This window comes from Homo sapiens, chromosome 17 (genome assembly GCF_000001405.40).
Source record: "Homo sapiens chromosome 17, GRCh38.p14 Primary Assembly".
In the NCBI taxonomy this organism is placed as follows: domain Eukaryota; kingdom Metazoa; phylum Chordata; class Mammalia; order Primates; family Hominidae; genus Homo; species Homo sapiens.
Window position 1 is genome coordinate 72,509,761 of NC_000017.11, and position 14,393 is coordinate 72,524,153.

General features: G+C 46.7%; 1 long non-coding RNA gene across 5 annotated transcripts in view, besides 4 other annotated features; it reads right to left on the reverse strand.

Moving 5' to 3' along the window:
• The window catches only part of LINC00673 (long intergenic non-protein coding RNA 673), a 189,483-nt gene that overhangs the window by 106,439 nt on the left and 68,651 nt on the right, over positions 1–14,393 (reverse strand). The gene's annotated exons all lie outside the window — the stretch shown is intronic.
• Positions 1,081–1,210: an enhancer, noted in NCBI's record as "active region_12679". NCBI's record gives its function as "activates an Ori minimal core promoter by ATAC-STARR-seq in GM12878 lymphoblastoid cells {active_cell/tissue: GM12878}" and the evidence as "EXISTENCE:reporter gene assay evidence [ECO:0000049][PMID:35858748]".
• Positions 5,337–5,837: an enhancer, noted in NCBI's record as "H3K27ac hESC enhancer chr17:70511237-70511737 (GRCh37/hg19 assembly coordinates)". NCBI's record gives its function as "activates a minimal SCP1, AML or CMV promoter by ChIP-STARR-seq in naive H9 embryonic stem cells {active_cell/tissue: H9 hESC(naive)}" and the evidence as "EXISTENCE:reporter gene assay evidence [ECO:0000049][PMID:30033119]".
• Positions 5,985–6,174: an enhancer, noted in NCBI's record as "active region_12680". NCBI's record gives its function as "activates an Ori minimal core promoter by ATAC-STARR-seq in GM12878 lymphoblastoid cells {active_cell/tissue: GM12878}" and the evidence as "EXISTENCE:reporter gene assay evidence [ECO:0000049][PMID:35858748]".
• Positions 7,137–7,645: an enhancer, noted in NCBI's record as "H3K27ac-H3K4me1 hESC enhancer chr17:70513037-70513545 (GRCh37/hg19 assembly coordinates)". NCBI's record gives its function as "activates a minimal SCP1, AML or CMV promoter by ChIP-STARR-seq in primed H9 embryonic stem cells {active_cell/tissue: H9 hESC(primed)}" and the evidence as "EXISTENCE:reporter gene assay evidence [ECO:0000049][PMID:30033119]".

Genomic DNA, 14,393 nt, shown 5'->3' on the forward strand with positions numbered 1-14,393 from the left:
AGTTAAAGGACTTTCGAGACAGTCATGTTCCCCAAAACCAGACTGATGATTTCGAACAACCACCCAGAAATTAAAGTTCCATTCTCGTCAACTCAAGTTTGTCTCACTCTCCTCTCTGGGTCTGACAGCGAAAGAGATGTTCGGGCTTTTGGCATTTCAATCATGGAATTACTTTCGGGGTACAGGGGCAACCCCCACCGAGTTTAATTTCCTTCTCATCTCTCTGTAGTGTCTATTGAAACTCCCTAAAGGAAAAGCTTTGAGCAGGCTCCTGTGGTAACGCATGTAACAGGAAGGACAAAGGATTTGATAGTCAGCAAAGTTATAAGCCTGGTTTTTTTTTAATGGTGAAAGGAATAGGGGGAAGGAGAGAGATTATAAAACTGCTTGCATATCTAGAAATAGTTCAAATTGAGCTTGAACCAGGAACCTGCCCAGCATGCTAACTGCGGCCATGGTTCCTTGTCCAAAGGAAGCCCATATTTTATTTTGAGACTCCTGTTCTTTGGTGCAAAACACTTTGTCCCCATGCTTAGAAACACTATAAAACGCTATATATTTAGGATAACTGGGAAAAAAAGGCGGCTTGGAAGGTTCCGAGAAATTGAGCCCTACCCCATGCTGGGGAATTCTTCAGCGCCATTCTGGCTTGCAAAAAGAAAAAGAAAAAAAAAAAAGAAAAAAGAAAGAAAGAAAAAAAAAACAAGCTACTGGTCAGAGGGAATGCTCTTCCATGCCAAGCTCAGCTTGAATTAATACACAACACAACCTCTTAAAGAGGGGCACTGCTTTAAACTAAGAGTCTCTTCTGAAAATGTAACTGATTTGAAAAAGCAACAGGAAGTTGAGAATATTCTGGAAGGAAAAAGGCTGCAACCTGATACATTTTCTTCACCCCAGTGTTTGCAATCTTGTCACTCTGGTCAAGGCCACACCTTCAAGTCAGGAGGGATGAAGCCTTTGAAGCAAAGGATGCCAGTTTCACTTCCCCAAGCAAAACAATGCCCAGGACCCATCCTGAGCTTGCTGCCTCCCTAGGGCCTCTGTGGTCTGGTTGAGTGGCTGGTAGAACCCATTTCACTTTGAATTCTGCCCAGAAACCACAGGAGGATCAGTCCACGGAAGAGAAAAATCTAATTGGTTACAGGGACTTAGCATCTGCCCAGAAGACATTCATGCCCTTTGTCCTACATGGTTTCCCAGCCACCAGGGAGGAGAGGACTTCAGTCCAGGGACCACATATAGAACCTGATTACTTTCAGCTACAAGATGAATTTGTTCTGGGGATCTAAAGCACAGCATGGTGACAATAGTTAATAATACAACATGGCTCGCTTGAAATTTGCTAAAAGAGTAGATCTTAAGTGTCCTTACCCCCAACCCCACACACACGGTAATTATGTGGGGTGGTGAATGCACTAATTAATTTGATTGTGATTAATTTGATTGTAAAACTTATTTCACAATGTATATCAAATCATCATGTTGCATACCATGAATACATAAATACAATTTTTATTAGTCAGCTGCACCTCAATAAAGCTGCAGAGACAAAAAAACAAAAGAGACGCTTTCTCTTGTTAGCTGATGGAGTATTGCGTTAAGTACAGGAGGAGCAAGTTACTGCAAAGAGAAACGAAAGCCTTGAAAACCAAAGCACTGTTATTTCCGCGTGTATCTTCCAGGGTGAAGCAAGCACATTTCTGTGAATGGGAGCTTTTTTAGACCTATTTGGAGATCTGTAAAATTTAGGTGATTCAACCTACCAACCTTAAATTGAAACCCAAGCCATTACAAGATCAGACTGTAGCGTTCTGAAGGAGTGTGTAAGTGTACGTATGTGGGCTTTGTCATGAAGCAGAATTTGAGAAAAGGGACCACACTGATGTGAGGCTTTACCAAAGCCCCGCGCTATAAGCAATACTCCAACAGTGTTGTGTGTGTTTGTTTTCTTTTAATTGGGAATAGTTATGCATACTCTGTAAGCACAAACTGTAAAAGAGGGAGGTTATACGAATAGACTTCCCTACTGTAAATAAAACACACTGTTGGGATCAAGTAAAACTTGCAACAAATTAAGCCTGACATTTAGGAATAACCATGGTGTAATTGAGCTACATAGAAATCCAACATAAAAGACAAACTTCCTAAGGAGGTGACTCAAGCCACACCTCTGGGGGCAGATAGTGGGAGGTGAGAGGGGACAGGGAAAGTAGCGAAGTCCCTGGAAGTCCTTCAGGAGGCTGAATCAGAGAGGCTTCAGCCAGGGCTCAAAGGCAGGCAGTGTGGATCCAGAATGCCACTCCTTGCTGTGTCGGAGGATTAAACAGAGTCATGTGATGCCTATTCTCAGGCCCAGAGGTGGCTTGGGAGCACCTGCTGGAAGGACAAGGTCGAGATCCTCAAATGTCCCCTTCTCTTGGTCTCCAGGTCATTGAACTTAGAGGAGTCACTGAGGGACAGCCACACTCCTCCTCCTTTAAAAACCACAAGCTGCCTTGCTACCTTCACATCACCTGTAATGCCCTCCAATTATATATTTATTTCATTTTAAAGAAAATATCAGCCAGGCACAGTGGCTCACGCCTGTAATCCCAGCACTTTGGGAGGCCAGGGCAGGCAGATCACTTGAGTTCAGGAGTTCAAGACCAGCCTGGCCAACATGGCGAATCCCTGTCTCTACTAAAACTACAAAAATTAACCGTGCATGGTGGCATGCGCCTGTAATCCCAGCTACCTGAAAGGCTGAGGCCAGAGAATTGCTTGAACCTGGGAGGTGGAAGTTGCAGTGAACCCAGATCAAGCCACTGCACTCCAGCCTGGGCGATACAGCGAGACTCCGTCCCCCTGACCAAAAAAAGAAAAAGAAAATATCTGTAAGAAAGCTGGAGTGCTTTCAATTTCTCACAACTTGATTGGGTTGGTTCTCTGTCTACTTTCCTAGCTGGGACTAATCACTGAAGCACCCAGGGTTATTTACATGAACACCAGCTTCTAGAAAACTCTGCCCCTCCTCCCTTAGGAGGCTCTCAGGTTCCCCTGCTGCATAGACCTGGGGCAGCCACCACATTTCCCATACCCTAGAGAAGAAAGAACAAAGGGCCATTTGCAACACGGGACACTTCAGGAGGGAAATCCAGGGGTGGCCTCAACCACTAAAGTAACATGAGAGCTCGATGCTCCCTAAAGAGCCCAGCAGAGGGGGGCAAGGAGAGTCACGGAAGTGGGTGGGTACCCCGTCCAAAGGCTGGTTCACAGTTTGCCCTGGCCCCTCCATCCTCCCACCAGAAGACAAGAGGATTGCTTTCACTCCTGGGTCATTCCTGCCAGCCCTCCCTACTGTGCCTACCTGGAGGTGGGCAGTGAGAGGGACAGGGTGGGAAAGCCTTGGCCCCAAGAGACTCTGGGCAGGGCCCTGGATGGACCACCCAAGCCATCCTGCTGCAGCAAACAGATGGTGTGGGCCGCCTGGGGACCGTGAAGTGCACTGCTCAGCTCTTATTCCCGAGAGGGATGTCTGTGTTCACAGGGCCTTATTCTACACACACCCAGCCTAGCAGCAGCTGGAGTCTACTAGGTGGCAAAAAAGTTAGCCATAAGAGTTTGGGGTCATTCATTCATTCACATCTTCAACATTTTTTTTTTTTTGAGACAGGATCTCACTCTGTCTCCCAGGCTGGAAGGCAGTGGCACAATCTCGGCTCACTGCAGCTGTGACCTCCTGGGCTCAAGCAATCCTCCCACCTCAGCCTCATTTTTTTTTTCTTTTTTTTTGAGATGGAGTCTCACTCTTGTTGCCCAGGCTGGAGTGCAGTGGTGCAATCTCGGCTCACTGCAAGCTCTGCCTCCCGGGTTCACGCCATTCTCCTGCCTCAGCCTCCCTAGTAGCTGGGACTACAGGCGCCCGCCACCACGTCTGGCTAATTTTTTGTATTTTTAGTAGAGACAGGGTTTCACCATGTTAGCCAGGATGGTCTCGATCTCCTGACCTCATGATCTGCCCGCCTCAGCCTCCCAAAGTGCTGGGATTACAGGCGTGAGCCACTGCACTCAGCCCCACCTCAGCCTCTTGAGTAGCTGGGATTACAGGTATGCACCACCATGCTTGGCCAATTTTTTTTTTTTTTTTTTTTTTTTTTAGCAATGGGGTCTCCCTATATCTCCCAGGCTGGTCTCGAACTCCTGGGCTCAAGTGATCCTCCCACCTCAGGCTCCCAAAGTGCAGAGATTACAGGCATGAGCCACTATGCCTGGCCACATTCAACAATTAAAGAGTCTAATTTGCCAAGTATTGGAGATAAAATATGCAACAAAAACATCCAGCTCCCCAGTCCAGTGGAAGGAGACCTGATATGGTTTGGCTGTGTCCCCACCCAAATCTCATCTTGAATTGTAGCTCCCATAGTCCCTACATGTCATGGGAGGGACCTGGTGGGAGGTAATTGAATCATGGGGGCAGGTTTTTCCTATGCTATTCCCATGACAGTAAATAAGTCTCACGAGATCTGATGGTTTTATAAAGGGCAGTTCCCCTGCACACACTCTCTTGCCTGCCACCATGTAAGAGGCGCCTTTGCTTCTCCTTTTCCTTCCGCCATGATTGTGAGGCCTCCCCAGCCATGTGGAATTGTGAGTCCATGAAACCTCTTTATCTTGATAAATTACCCAGTCTCGGGTATTTCTTCATAGCACTATGATAATAGACTAACACAGGACCAACATTAATCAAGCACACACAGCAATGAGCTGTGACTGCAGATAGAGGTAGCTTCCTCCAGGCTTAGGAATCCCATTGTGCAAGCAAGCTAACAAAGGATTGGCCTAAAAAGGTAGCGACACAACCTGAGGGAGAAATAATCCATCTGCTCTTGACTTTGGGTAGTTACTTAATCCTTCTACGCCTCGCTTTCTCATCTGTAAAATGGGCCAATATATATGTGACAGTGGGTAGGCTTAAATGTGGCAAGGTCTTTAAGGACTTTAGCAAAGTGAAAACTCTCAATCATGTTAAATTGTGTTAGTAGAAGGGCCCCTTGGAATGAAGGCATCGAGCTTAAGCCCACAGAGCTGGCCCCTGGGCTTCCTGTAGCAATGCTCCAATGCCCACACCCATCTCTTCCCCTGCAGACAGGCCCGGCCTATCCCTGAATCTCAGTAGATTCTGATAGATTCCCTCATCTTTGCCATTCTCTCATTTAGCCTGATTCCAGCGAGAGCCTCTAACCTCCCCTGTTATTTCAGCCCTGGGTCTCTTTAAGCAGCCACTGCCAAGCTGTGGGGGATTCATGGTGATTCAGCCCTGGCCCCAAGCAAGCTGGATGTGCTATCGCTCAGCCAGGATATGGCTGGGAGCCCACAGGCTGCTGCGAAGAGACAAAGCTGTCCTCTCCAGCCTTCGAAATCTCCCTTCCTTCTACTGACAGGCACATTGCGGGTCCAGCCATCATGCCCAAGGTGGTCAGAGGCTGGCTTCAGCCTCTTAAAGATTGAAGGCAAGACAATCATCCACCTCCACCCCAGGAGGAAAATGAGGCAGCTGAGCAGTTTCCTCCTGCTCTCTTACTCTCATGTAAGGCATCGTATCTGAATGTAGACAGAGTATTTGCTTGTTTTCTCTTTCTTAGGAGGCAGGACCAGGGAGAGACCCAGCAAAGAGAAGGTCCCAAGCCTAGCTCAAATCTCCTGGTCCTGGAACATTCAGGAGCCGCCCCACTTCAATGGTAATTGGCCTATTTCCATCTGGTTTCCAAGCAACATGACACAAAATCCCCAGGAACCTTATCACAGAGCCAGTGAACTGGAAGGGGCTGGAGATCGCTCTGGCCCAAACTCCCTGCGCCAAAGCATGCGGGGCGACTCAGACACAAAAGGGAGGAAGGCACAGTCTCTGCCCAGAGCCCACGGTGGCACCAAGAAACTCCTTTTACCACTGAAGAAGAAAAGGAGGTCCAGTCTTTTGGAGGCAAGACAAGGTCACCTACAGAGGGCCTCAGCCGAGCAACTCGCTAGAGGTTGTTTTCTGCATGACCACCTTCCCTGCACCGTGGATCCCTGGGGTGGGTGGTTTAGGGGCTTTCCAGGTAAGAGCCAGGGTCAGCGCCAGGAAATGATGACAAGTCTGTCTGAACCCTTTCCGCAGACATACAATTGACCTCCTCCAGCCAAGCGCTGCTCCAGTTAGAATCTTTCTAAAACTACATAGGCAAATGTCTAGCAATTGTCATTCAACTCTCACAATGAAAGGGTAAAAACTCATTTTAATGTGTCTCCCTTGTACCACTTTCTTAGTATGCCTGAATCCATTTCATCTCAAGGACCATACATCAAGCACTGCCTTCTCAGGTACTCAACTCTGCATGCCTAGATGAAGCCACAGCACTCCAAATCTGATTATGGGGATATTTTAGGAAGACAGCCTTGCATTAAAAACTGAAATCCTAGCCAGGCACAGTGGCTCATGCCTGTAAACCCAGCACTTTGGGAGGCCGAGATGGGAGGATCACTTGAGGCCAAGAGGTCAAGACCACCGTGGGCAATACAGTGAGACCTCCGTCTCTACAAAAAATAAAAAATGGAAAAACTAGCTAGGCATGGTAGTACATGCCTGTGGTCTCAGCTACTCGGGAGGTTGAGGCAGGAGGATAGCTTAAGCCTGGGTGATCAAGGCTGCAGTGAGCTCTGATGGCACCACCGTACTCCAGTCTAGATGACAGAGCAAGGCCCTGTCTCAAAAGAAAAAAAAAAAAGAAAAAAGAAATGGAGTCCACTGAACACTAAAAAAAGGATGAATTTTACTGTATGTAAATTATTCCTCAATAAAACTGACTTTAGGAAGAAAATCCACAGGCTCACCCTTCCTAAAGAAAAAAATACACATATAATATCAGGGAGGAAAAAAAAGAAGGAAATTCACACCTTTTTGCTTGACAGAAGTACGGTGCTTGCTTTTTCAATTAAAACTAAAAGGCTACTCCTTTAGGAAACAAAAGTGGGTTCAGCTCCAACAGCCAAGCAAAGCAACGGACTCACCCCACTGGGGATCCCACAGCTGGAAGGTCCCTGACCTACTTCCGCCCAGATCGCCTGAAAGGCCCACGGGGCACCAGCCAAGAGTGGGAAGCAGAGCCGGGCAGCGGGTGCAGGGTGGTGAGCAGAGCACTCCCCCTCTCGCCCCACAGGACACACACAGGCTGAGGGCAAATGATTCCCAGACAGGGACCTGGTGAACAAAGAGGTTACGCAACTCACTAATCACTCAAGACAGCCAAAAACAGAACCTGACATCACGTGCCTGTGACCATCCCCACGGACTGCCTGTGAACTCCCGTAGAAGGTATTCAACAGTTTGTGGAATTACACTGAGCTTGAGTCGGGCTGCAAATAAAAATAAAGTCACTTTTCCCCTAATCCTGTAAGAAACTGGGCACTCAGGGACACGTTAACTCTTTCATGCTCTCTAGAGCCCATTTGAGTCTCAATGGATTCAAGGTTTGGTGGGATGGAAACATGAGTATAGTAAGAATCATCTTAGACTATAAGAAATTCCAAAAATGGCGGGGCAAAAAAAAAAAAAAGGAAAAAAAGAAAAGAAATGGGGAAATTTTGTTACGGTCTTGCATATAACCAAGGTTTTCTCCTTGTCACGGACCAAACCATGATCTGAGTTTGGAGCCTTCTAGAATCCTGAAAACTAGCAAATCCATCTAGTGACAAGATGCACTAAAGCCCTGTGTGGTTTCTAAAAGTTGCTAAAAACTCTAGAATGGCAAACGTTGATAGGGTGGTAGGAGGATGGGGTACTGCACTGATTATCTTTTTAACCTAGATTTCATTAACAATCACCAATTACCGTATACATCCTAAACACCAGGCACTACACAAAGTAACTTAAAGTTATCAGTGCATTCAATCATCATAGTCCTAAAAGATGGGCACGGCCACTTCTATTTGATAGGTGGGAGCACTGAGGATACCTAGCTAGGTGATGGCAGAGCTGAGACTCAAACCCCCAGCTAACCCCAAAACACACACCCCTAATTTTGTCATCCGGCTCTCTGATTAAAAGTGAGAGGCTTTTCTACCCAGTGTGCTGAGCCCAAGTGCCCAAAGATGAACTGTTTCCATGAGTTGTCAGATTTCTGACCCAGAGATGGCAGGACAGAAGCATCTGACTGGATCAGGGAGGTGGCAGAGGCCCAGGGAAGAGGGAGGGCCTGGCGGTTTCAGTGAAAGTCAAAATGACCTCCCCAAATATGCAGCAGAAATTCTCCAGGTACCAGGCCACTGCTGGAGAGATCAGAGGCTCAAGGCTGCCAAGAACAAGGAACTACTGCCAGAAATAAGTTAAGACCTCCCCACAGGTCTCCAGCGGTCACCCACCGTTCCTTAGATCAGTCTCCACCCTCTAAGTAGAAGACAAAAGTGGATCTCCAGAACCTTGAAGCTATTATGCTCTGTGAAAGAAGCCAGACACGAAAGGCCACATATTGTGAGGTTCTGTTTATGTAGAATATTCAGAATAGGCAAATCCATAGAGCCAGAAAGTAGACTAATGTTTGGCAGGGGCTGGAGGGAAGGGAGAATGGAGAAATGACCGCCTAATGAGCGCAGGCTTTCCTTTTGGGGTGGTGTATGCATACGTCCAGACTCTTCAAAATGTGTGTATTAAACAATGTACAATTTATGCATACCAATTTTCATTCAATAAAGATTTTTAAAGGACTTGGAAAAAAGTTCTGAATACAAATAGTGGTGATGGTTGCACAACACTGTAAATGCTTTCATGTCACTGAACCGTATACTTTAAGTTGGTTAAAACGGTAAATGATGTTATATTGTTATATGTATTTTACCACAGTTTTTTTAAGGTGGAATCTCCAAAGAATCCTAGAACTCATTCAGTCCAAGCCTAAAACCGAAACACGGAGTCGGGGCTTAGCCTCTAAGGGCTGTGAGGGTTAGAACTGGATGTTCCCCTAAGACCCTCAAATTCATAAACTCATTGTTTAGAGAGAGGGTGGTGCCGGCAAGCAGGGAAGGAAGAAGGCCTGCGAGACGGTGAGGCCGGACAGAGCACTGGCTCCTTCTGAGGCGACCAGGGGGAGCGAGGTGCAGCCAGGGAGGCAGGGCCCCCGCCCATGCATCCTCCCCCAGACCCCTCGCCTCTTCCCACCTGGCAGACCTCATGCTTCCTTCCTTGGGGCTGGGAGCCCAGTGCCCTTGGTCTGCATCACAGAGTCAACAACAATTTATCTGAACTGAGCAAACAAGGCAGCCATAAGAGGCGGAACTCTGACAATATTTAATGACTCCGGGGGTGGGGAAGCTTTGCAGGAGAAGGAGGGCAGGCGAGGAAAGGAACCAGAGAGGAGGCAGAAAACTCCAGGGGAAATTCCGTCGGGGGGAAGATAAAAGGGGGCTGTAAAGCAATTTTGACAGGTTAACAGACAGGTAATATTCCAACGGTGTTTACTTAACCAGGCTAGCACTCCATGCAGCGCCGATTAAGCTGCAGCACGAGAGCCTCAGCAGCTAAGGGTTTCACAGAAACAAAGATCTAGTCAGAGAAAACCAAATAACAGCCAGTCAGATGCTGGCAGCCCGGCCTGCAGCTCCCCCAGCTCGGAAGCCACACGGAGATGCTTCCTGGAGACCGATCTGGAAAGATAACTTGCAGCGGGTACCTTGCTGGGCCTCCACCTGGGATCACAGGGCCTAGCATCTGACAGCTCCTCGGAAAGGGTGGGGCATGGGCACCAAGCGCAAAGTGTCCCCTCTTCCCTCCCACGTTGAGGCAGACCAGTTCTCCAATCCTCAGTCCTAGGAAGACAGCCTTGCTGGTCCCACCCGCTGGCCCGGGGACTGCTGGCTCAGGATCTTTAGCCAGCAATGAAATTCATGCCAGCTCCCAAACCCCTATCCACCCACCCAGATGCAAACCCAACGTGTTCTGCCATCTCTTAGCTCTCATACACTGGGCAAGTTCCTTAGTCTCTCGGGGCCTCAACTTCCTCATCTGTAAAATGGGGCAGTAAATTTCACAAGCTTCTTTAATTCATACATCACTATTAATTATCTGTTAATGTCATTGATATAAGTATAAATAATGCAGATAGTCCCCAACATACAATTTTCCTACTTTATGATGGCGTGAGAGCAAAACAAATTCAGCCGAAACCACACTTCAAGTACCCATACAACAATTCTGTTTTTCACTTTGAAGATACTAAAAAAAATTCAATAAATCATATAACATATTCAAGATTTTATTATAGGCCGGGAGGTGGTTCATACCTGTAATCCCAGCACTTTGGGAGGCCGAGGCAGGCAGATCGCCTGAGGTCAGGAGTTCGAGACAAGCCTGACCAAAATGGTGAAACCCTGTCTCTGCTAAAAATAAAAAAATAAAAAAATAAAAAAAATTAGCTGGGCATAGTGGCGCATGCCTGTAGTCCCAGCTACTCAGGAAGCTGAGGCAGGAGACTCACTTGAACCCAGAAGACGGAGGTTGCAGTGAGCTGAGATCGTGCCATTGCACTCCAACCTGGATGACAAGAGAGAAACCCCGCCTCAAAAAAAAAAATAAAAGATTTTATTATAAAACAGGCTTTGTGTTACATGATTTGCCCAACTGTAGGCTAAAGTAAGTGTTCTACTAATGTTTAAGGTACATTAGGCTAAGCTATAGTGTTTGGTAAGAGCAGTGTCTTAACTGCATTTTTGACTTACAATATTTTCATCTTATGATGGGTATCAAGACGTGATCCCATTGTTAGTAGAGAAGCATCTGTATTTAATAAATAATTATAAGGAATAAATGAGGGTTTAGCACAGTGTCTGGATGTTAGTATCTACTCAATAAACTTTAGCTTCCTTATGCAACTATCTTTAACACCCACGTGGCCAGATTCAGAATGTGATCTTCTGAATATAGCAGAACAACCTATTGACAGGAAGATGCTTGATTTTTAAAATACGTGAAGGCTATTATATCTCCACCCATGCTCTCATAGAATGAGGAGGAAACGCTGTTGGGACCAGAAGAAGTGTCACGCTGGCTTAGGTCCCAGGAGAAGCACCCGAGACACCCCCAGCTCTCTGAGACCTTGGAGGCCTCACTAAGCAACTTGATATGGTTCCATGTTCCTGTATTTCTCAGAGGACATAAAAGTGTTCAAAGCCCCGGAACCAGCAAGCAAGAGGTGCCAAGATATTGACTTCATTTCCTATAGGGTTCCCTGGCCTCTGTTACAGGACACTATTTTGAGGTTGGATTATATATTTTTAGGTTATTTGGAAAATCATTGTGGCTTTAAATAATAAAATTCTGAGTGACATCTGTCAGCCCTGATTACTGTGAGTCGGCTAAGCTGCATTTTCTTTCGTTTTCATTTTTAAAAGTGCAATGAAGTAAGTGTTACCCAGAAAGGTCTGTGAGAGTCTGCAGGGTTGTGTATTAAACACTCTCTTGAAACTGGTCCCAAAGGCTTGTACCAGGGACCTAGCAACAGGCCTGGGGTGGTACACCCAAGAGCTGAGCTGGCAAACACTGCCAAAAGCAAGAAGTGGGACTGAGGCCCCTGCAAGGAATCACAGGGGCATCTGGTCAACCTCCTTCATTTCACCAGTGGGGTAGCAGAGGCCCAAGGGGGTTGGAGAATTGCCTTGGATGTACAGACAGCCATGGTGAAAGACGACAAGAGGCAGGTCTCCCCACAGCTTCATTCAGGACTCTCTGAGCTACACTATGAGGCCCATCAGGTCTTCTTATTCTATGAGTAGCACATCAATAAGGTTTGTATCCTACTGACCCAGTCCAGAAATCACCTCACGAAAGGGTTCCTCTACATAAATCTCTGCCCTTCTTCTTTACTTTCAGGATTCAATCATTGTTCCTACTCAGAAAAGTGCATCTTTTTTTTTCTTTTTAAGAGATGGGGTCTAGGCAGGCACGGTAGCTCGCACCTGTAATCCCAGAACTTTGGGAGGCCAAGGCAGGTGGATCACCTGAGGTCAGGAGTTTGAGACCAGCCTGGCCAACATGGTGAAATGCCATCTCTACTAAAAATACAAAATTAGCCGGGCATGGTGGTGCACGCCTGTAATCCCAGCTACTTGGGAGGCTGAGGCAGCAGAATCACTTGAACCCAGGAGGTGGAAGTTGCAGTGAGCCAAGACTGTGCCACTGCACTCCAGCCTGGGCAGCAAGAGCAAGGCTCTGTCTCAAAAAAAAAGAAAAAGAAAAAAAAAAAAAGAGATGGCGTGTCACTATGTTGCCCAGGCTAGTCTTGAACTCTTGGCTTCAAGCGATCCTCCCACCTTGGCCTCCCAAAGTGCTGGGATTATAGGCATGAGCCACCACACTCAGCCTTGAAAAGTACATCTTTTATGACCACCTGTTGGTTATCCACCATGTGAGTCTCACCTAATACAGGACTGGTGGTTTAGGAAATACCTGTGGCTGTCGCAGTTTTGGTCCTGCAGGGAAAGTGCCATCTACAAAATGAACTTGGAATGTCTAGGTTCAGGCAGTCTCTTCCTCAGAAAGCAGGAACCTCCAGACCAGATCTACCAAAAGCCATTCTCCCTCCCACAATCACCGCCACCATGTCCTGAGTATCAATAGCTTATTGACCCTCTTCATCCAGGAGCAATGAAGTTGTTAAGAATCAAACTCAATGGTTTTTTTTTTCTTTTCCTTTTTTTTTTTTGTGGGTATGATTTTACAGAATCCTCCTTTTTCCCCCAAATAAGTTTGATCAGCATGCATTTCATGTCTGAATTAGGACCTTAATTCAAGGCCCAGCACAGGGAAAGGAGTCAATAAGCAACTGATGAATAGAGGGATGAATTTGGGAGGCAAGCCTTTTCAAAGAAGCTATTCGATGGGTAAATGCCTATAAAATAAGCACATACTTTGTTATGTGGGACAAGAGATGGGGATGGGTTGGGGGTCCCATTCTCACGGATGGAAACCTCATTTTAAAAGTTTTCAGGTTTGGCCGAGCGCAGTGGCTCATGCTTGTAACCCCAGCACTTTGGGAGGCTGAGGTGGGCAGATCACTTTAGTTCAGCCTGGGAAACATGGCAAAACCCTATCTCTCCAGAAAAATACAAAAATTAGCCAGGCCAGTAGTCCCAGCTACTCAGGAGGCTGAGGTAGGAGGATGGCTTGAGCCCAGGAGGCGGAGGTTGCAGTGAGCTGAGATCGCGCCACCGCACTCCAGCCTGGGAAACAGAGTCCGACCTTGCCTCAAAAAAATAAAAACAATAAGCTGGGCACAGTGACTCAGGCTTGTAATCCCAGCACTTTTGGAGGCCGAGACAGGCGGATCACCTGAGGTCAGGAGTTCAAGACCAGCCTGCCCAAACATGGGAAAACCCTGTCTCTACTAAAAACACAAAAAATTAGCCCAGCGTGGTGGTGGGCACCTGCAATCCCAGCTACTCGGGAGGCTGAGGCAGGAGAATCGCTTGAACCCAGGAGGTGGAGGTTGCAGTGAGCCGAGATCGTGCCATTGCACTCCAGCCTGGGTGACAAGAGCAAAACTCCATCTCAAATAGTAATAATAATAATAATGTTAAAGCATTTCCAGGCTTTGAACCATCTTTCCTGACAGAGACCTCTGTGATGTGGTTGTGGAGGTGGGGGCAGGTTCTTCACGTTACCAAGAAGAAAACCAAGGAAATGAGACAATGAGAAGCTATTCCAAGGTCTGCAATGAATGAATAGAAAAGCTGAGATGAGCACTCAATCTGTTTCTCTTATTTGATATTTTCTATTCTCTTAAGATGGTGTTTTAAAGCCTTAAATCTCCCGAAAAATATATCTTACACATCGCACTGAAAGCCTTCAGATGCTAACTTCGGACACAATGAAATCACCCCATGTCCCCTCAGCCTTGCCAAAAGCTGATGTCTAAACCACGTCACCATTCGTGGCCTTAAACCCTGGCTAAACAATCATAATCACATTTCTGGAAATATAGGAATGGTGGCTGCCAAAAGCACTGAAGTATTAGACCACACCTCAAAGCTTTCTGTGCAGTGAACACTAGAAATAAGGAACTTCACAAGATTACCTGCCTAAAGAATCCACCCTCACAATTCCCCATCTAAAATACAAACTACACCTGGAAGTCCCCAGACAAGACAACAAGTCCCTGGTCAGGAATATAGGAGGTGCCCAATACATGGGAAATACAGAAGACTTAGGGTCTATGATATACACGCATTAAAAACTCTATGCTCTGCATGTGGTCCATCCATACAGTGGAATATTATTCAGCCTTAAAAAGATGGAAATTCCTGGCCAGGCGCGATGGTTCACACCTGTAATCCCAGCACTTTGGGAGGCTGAGGCAGGTGGATCACGAGGTCAGGAGATCAACACC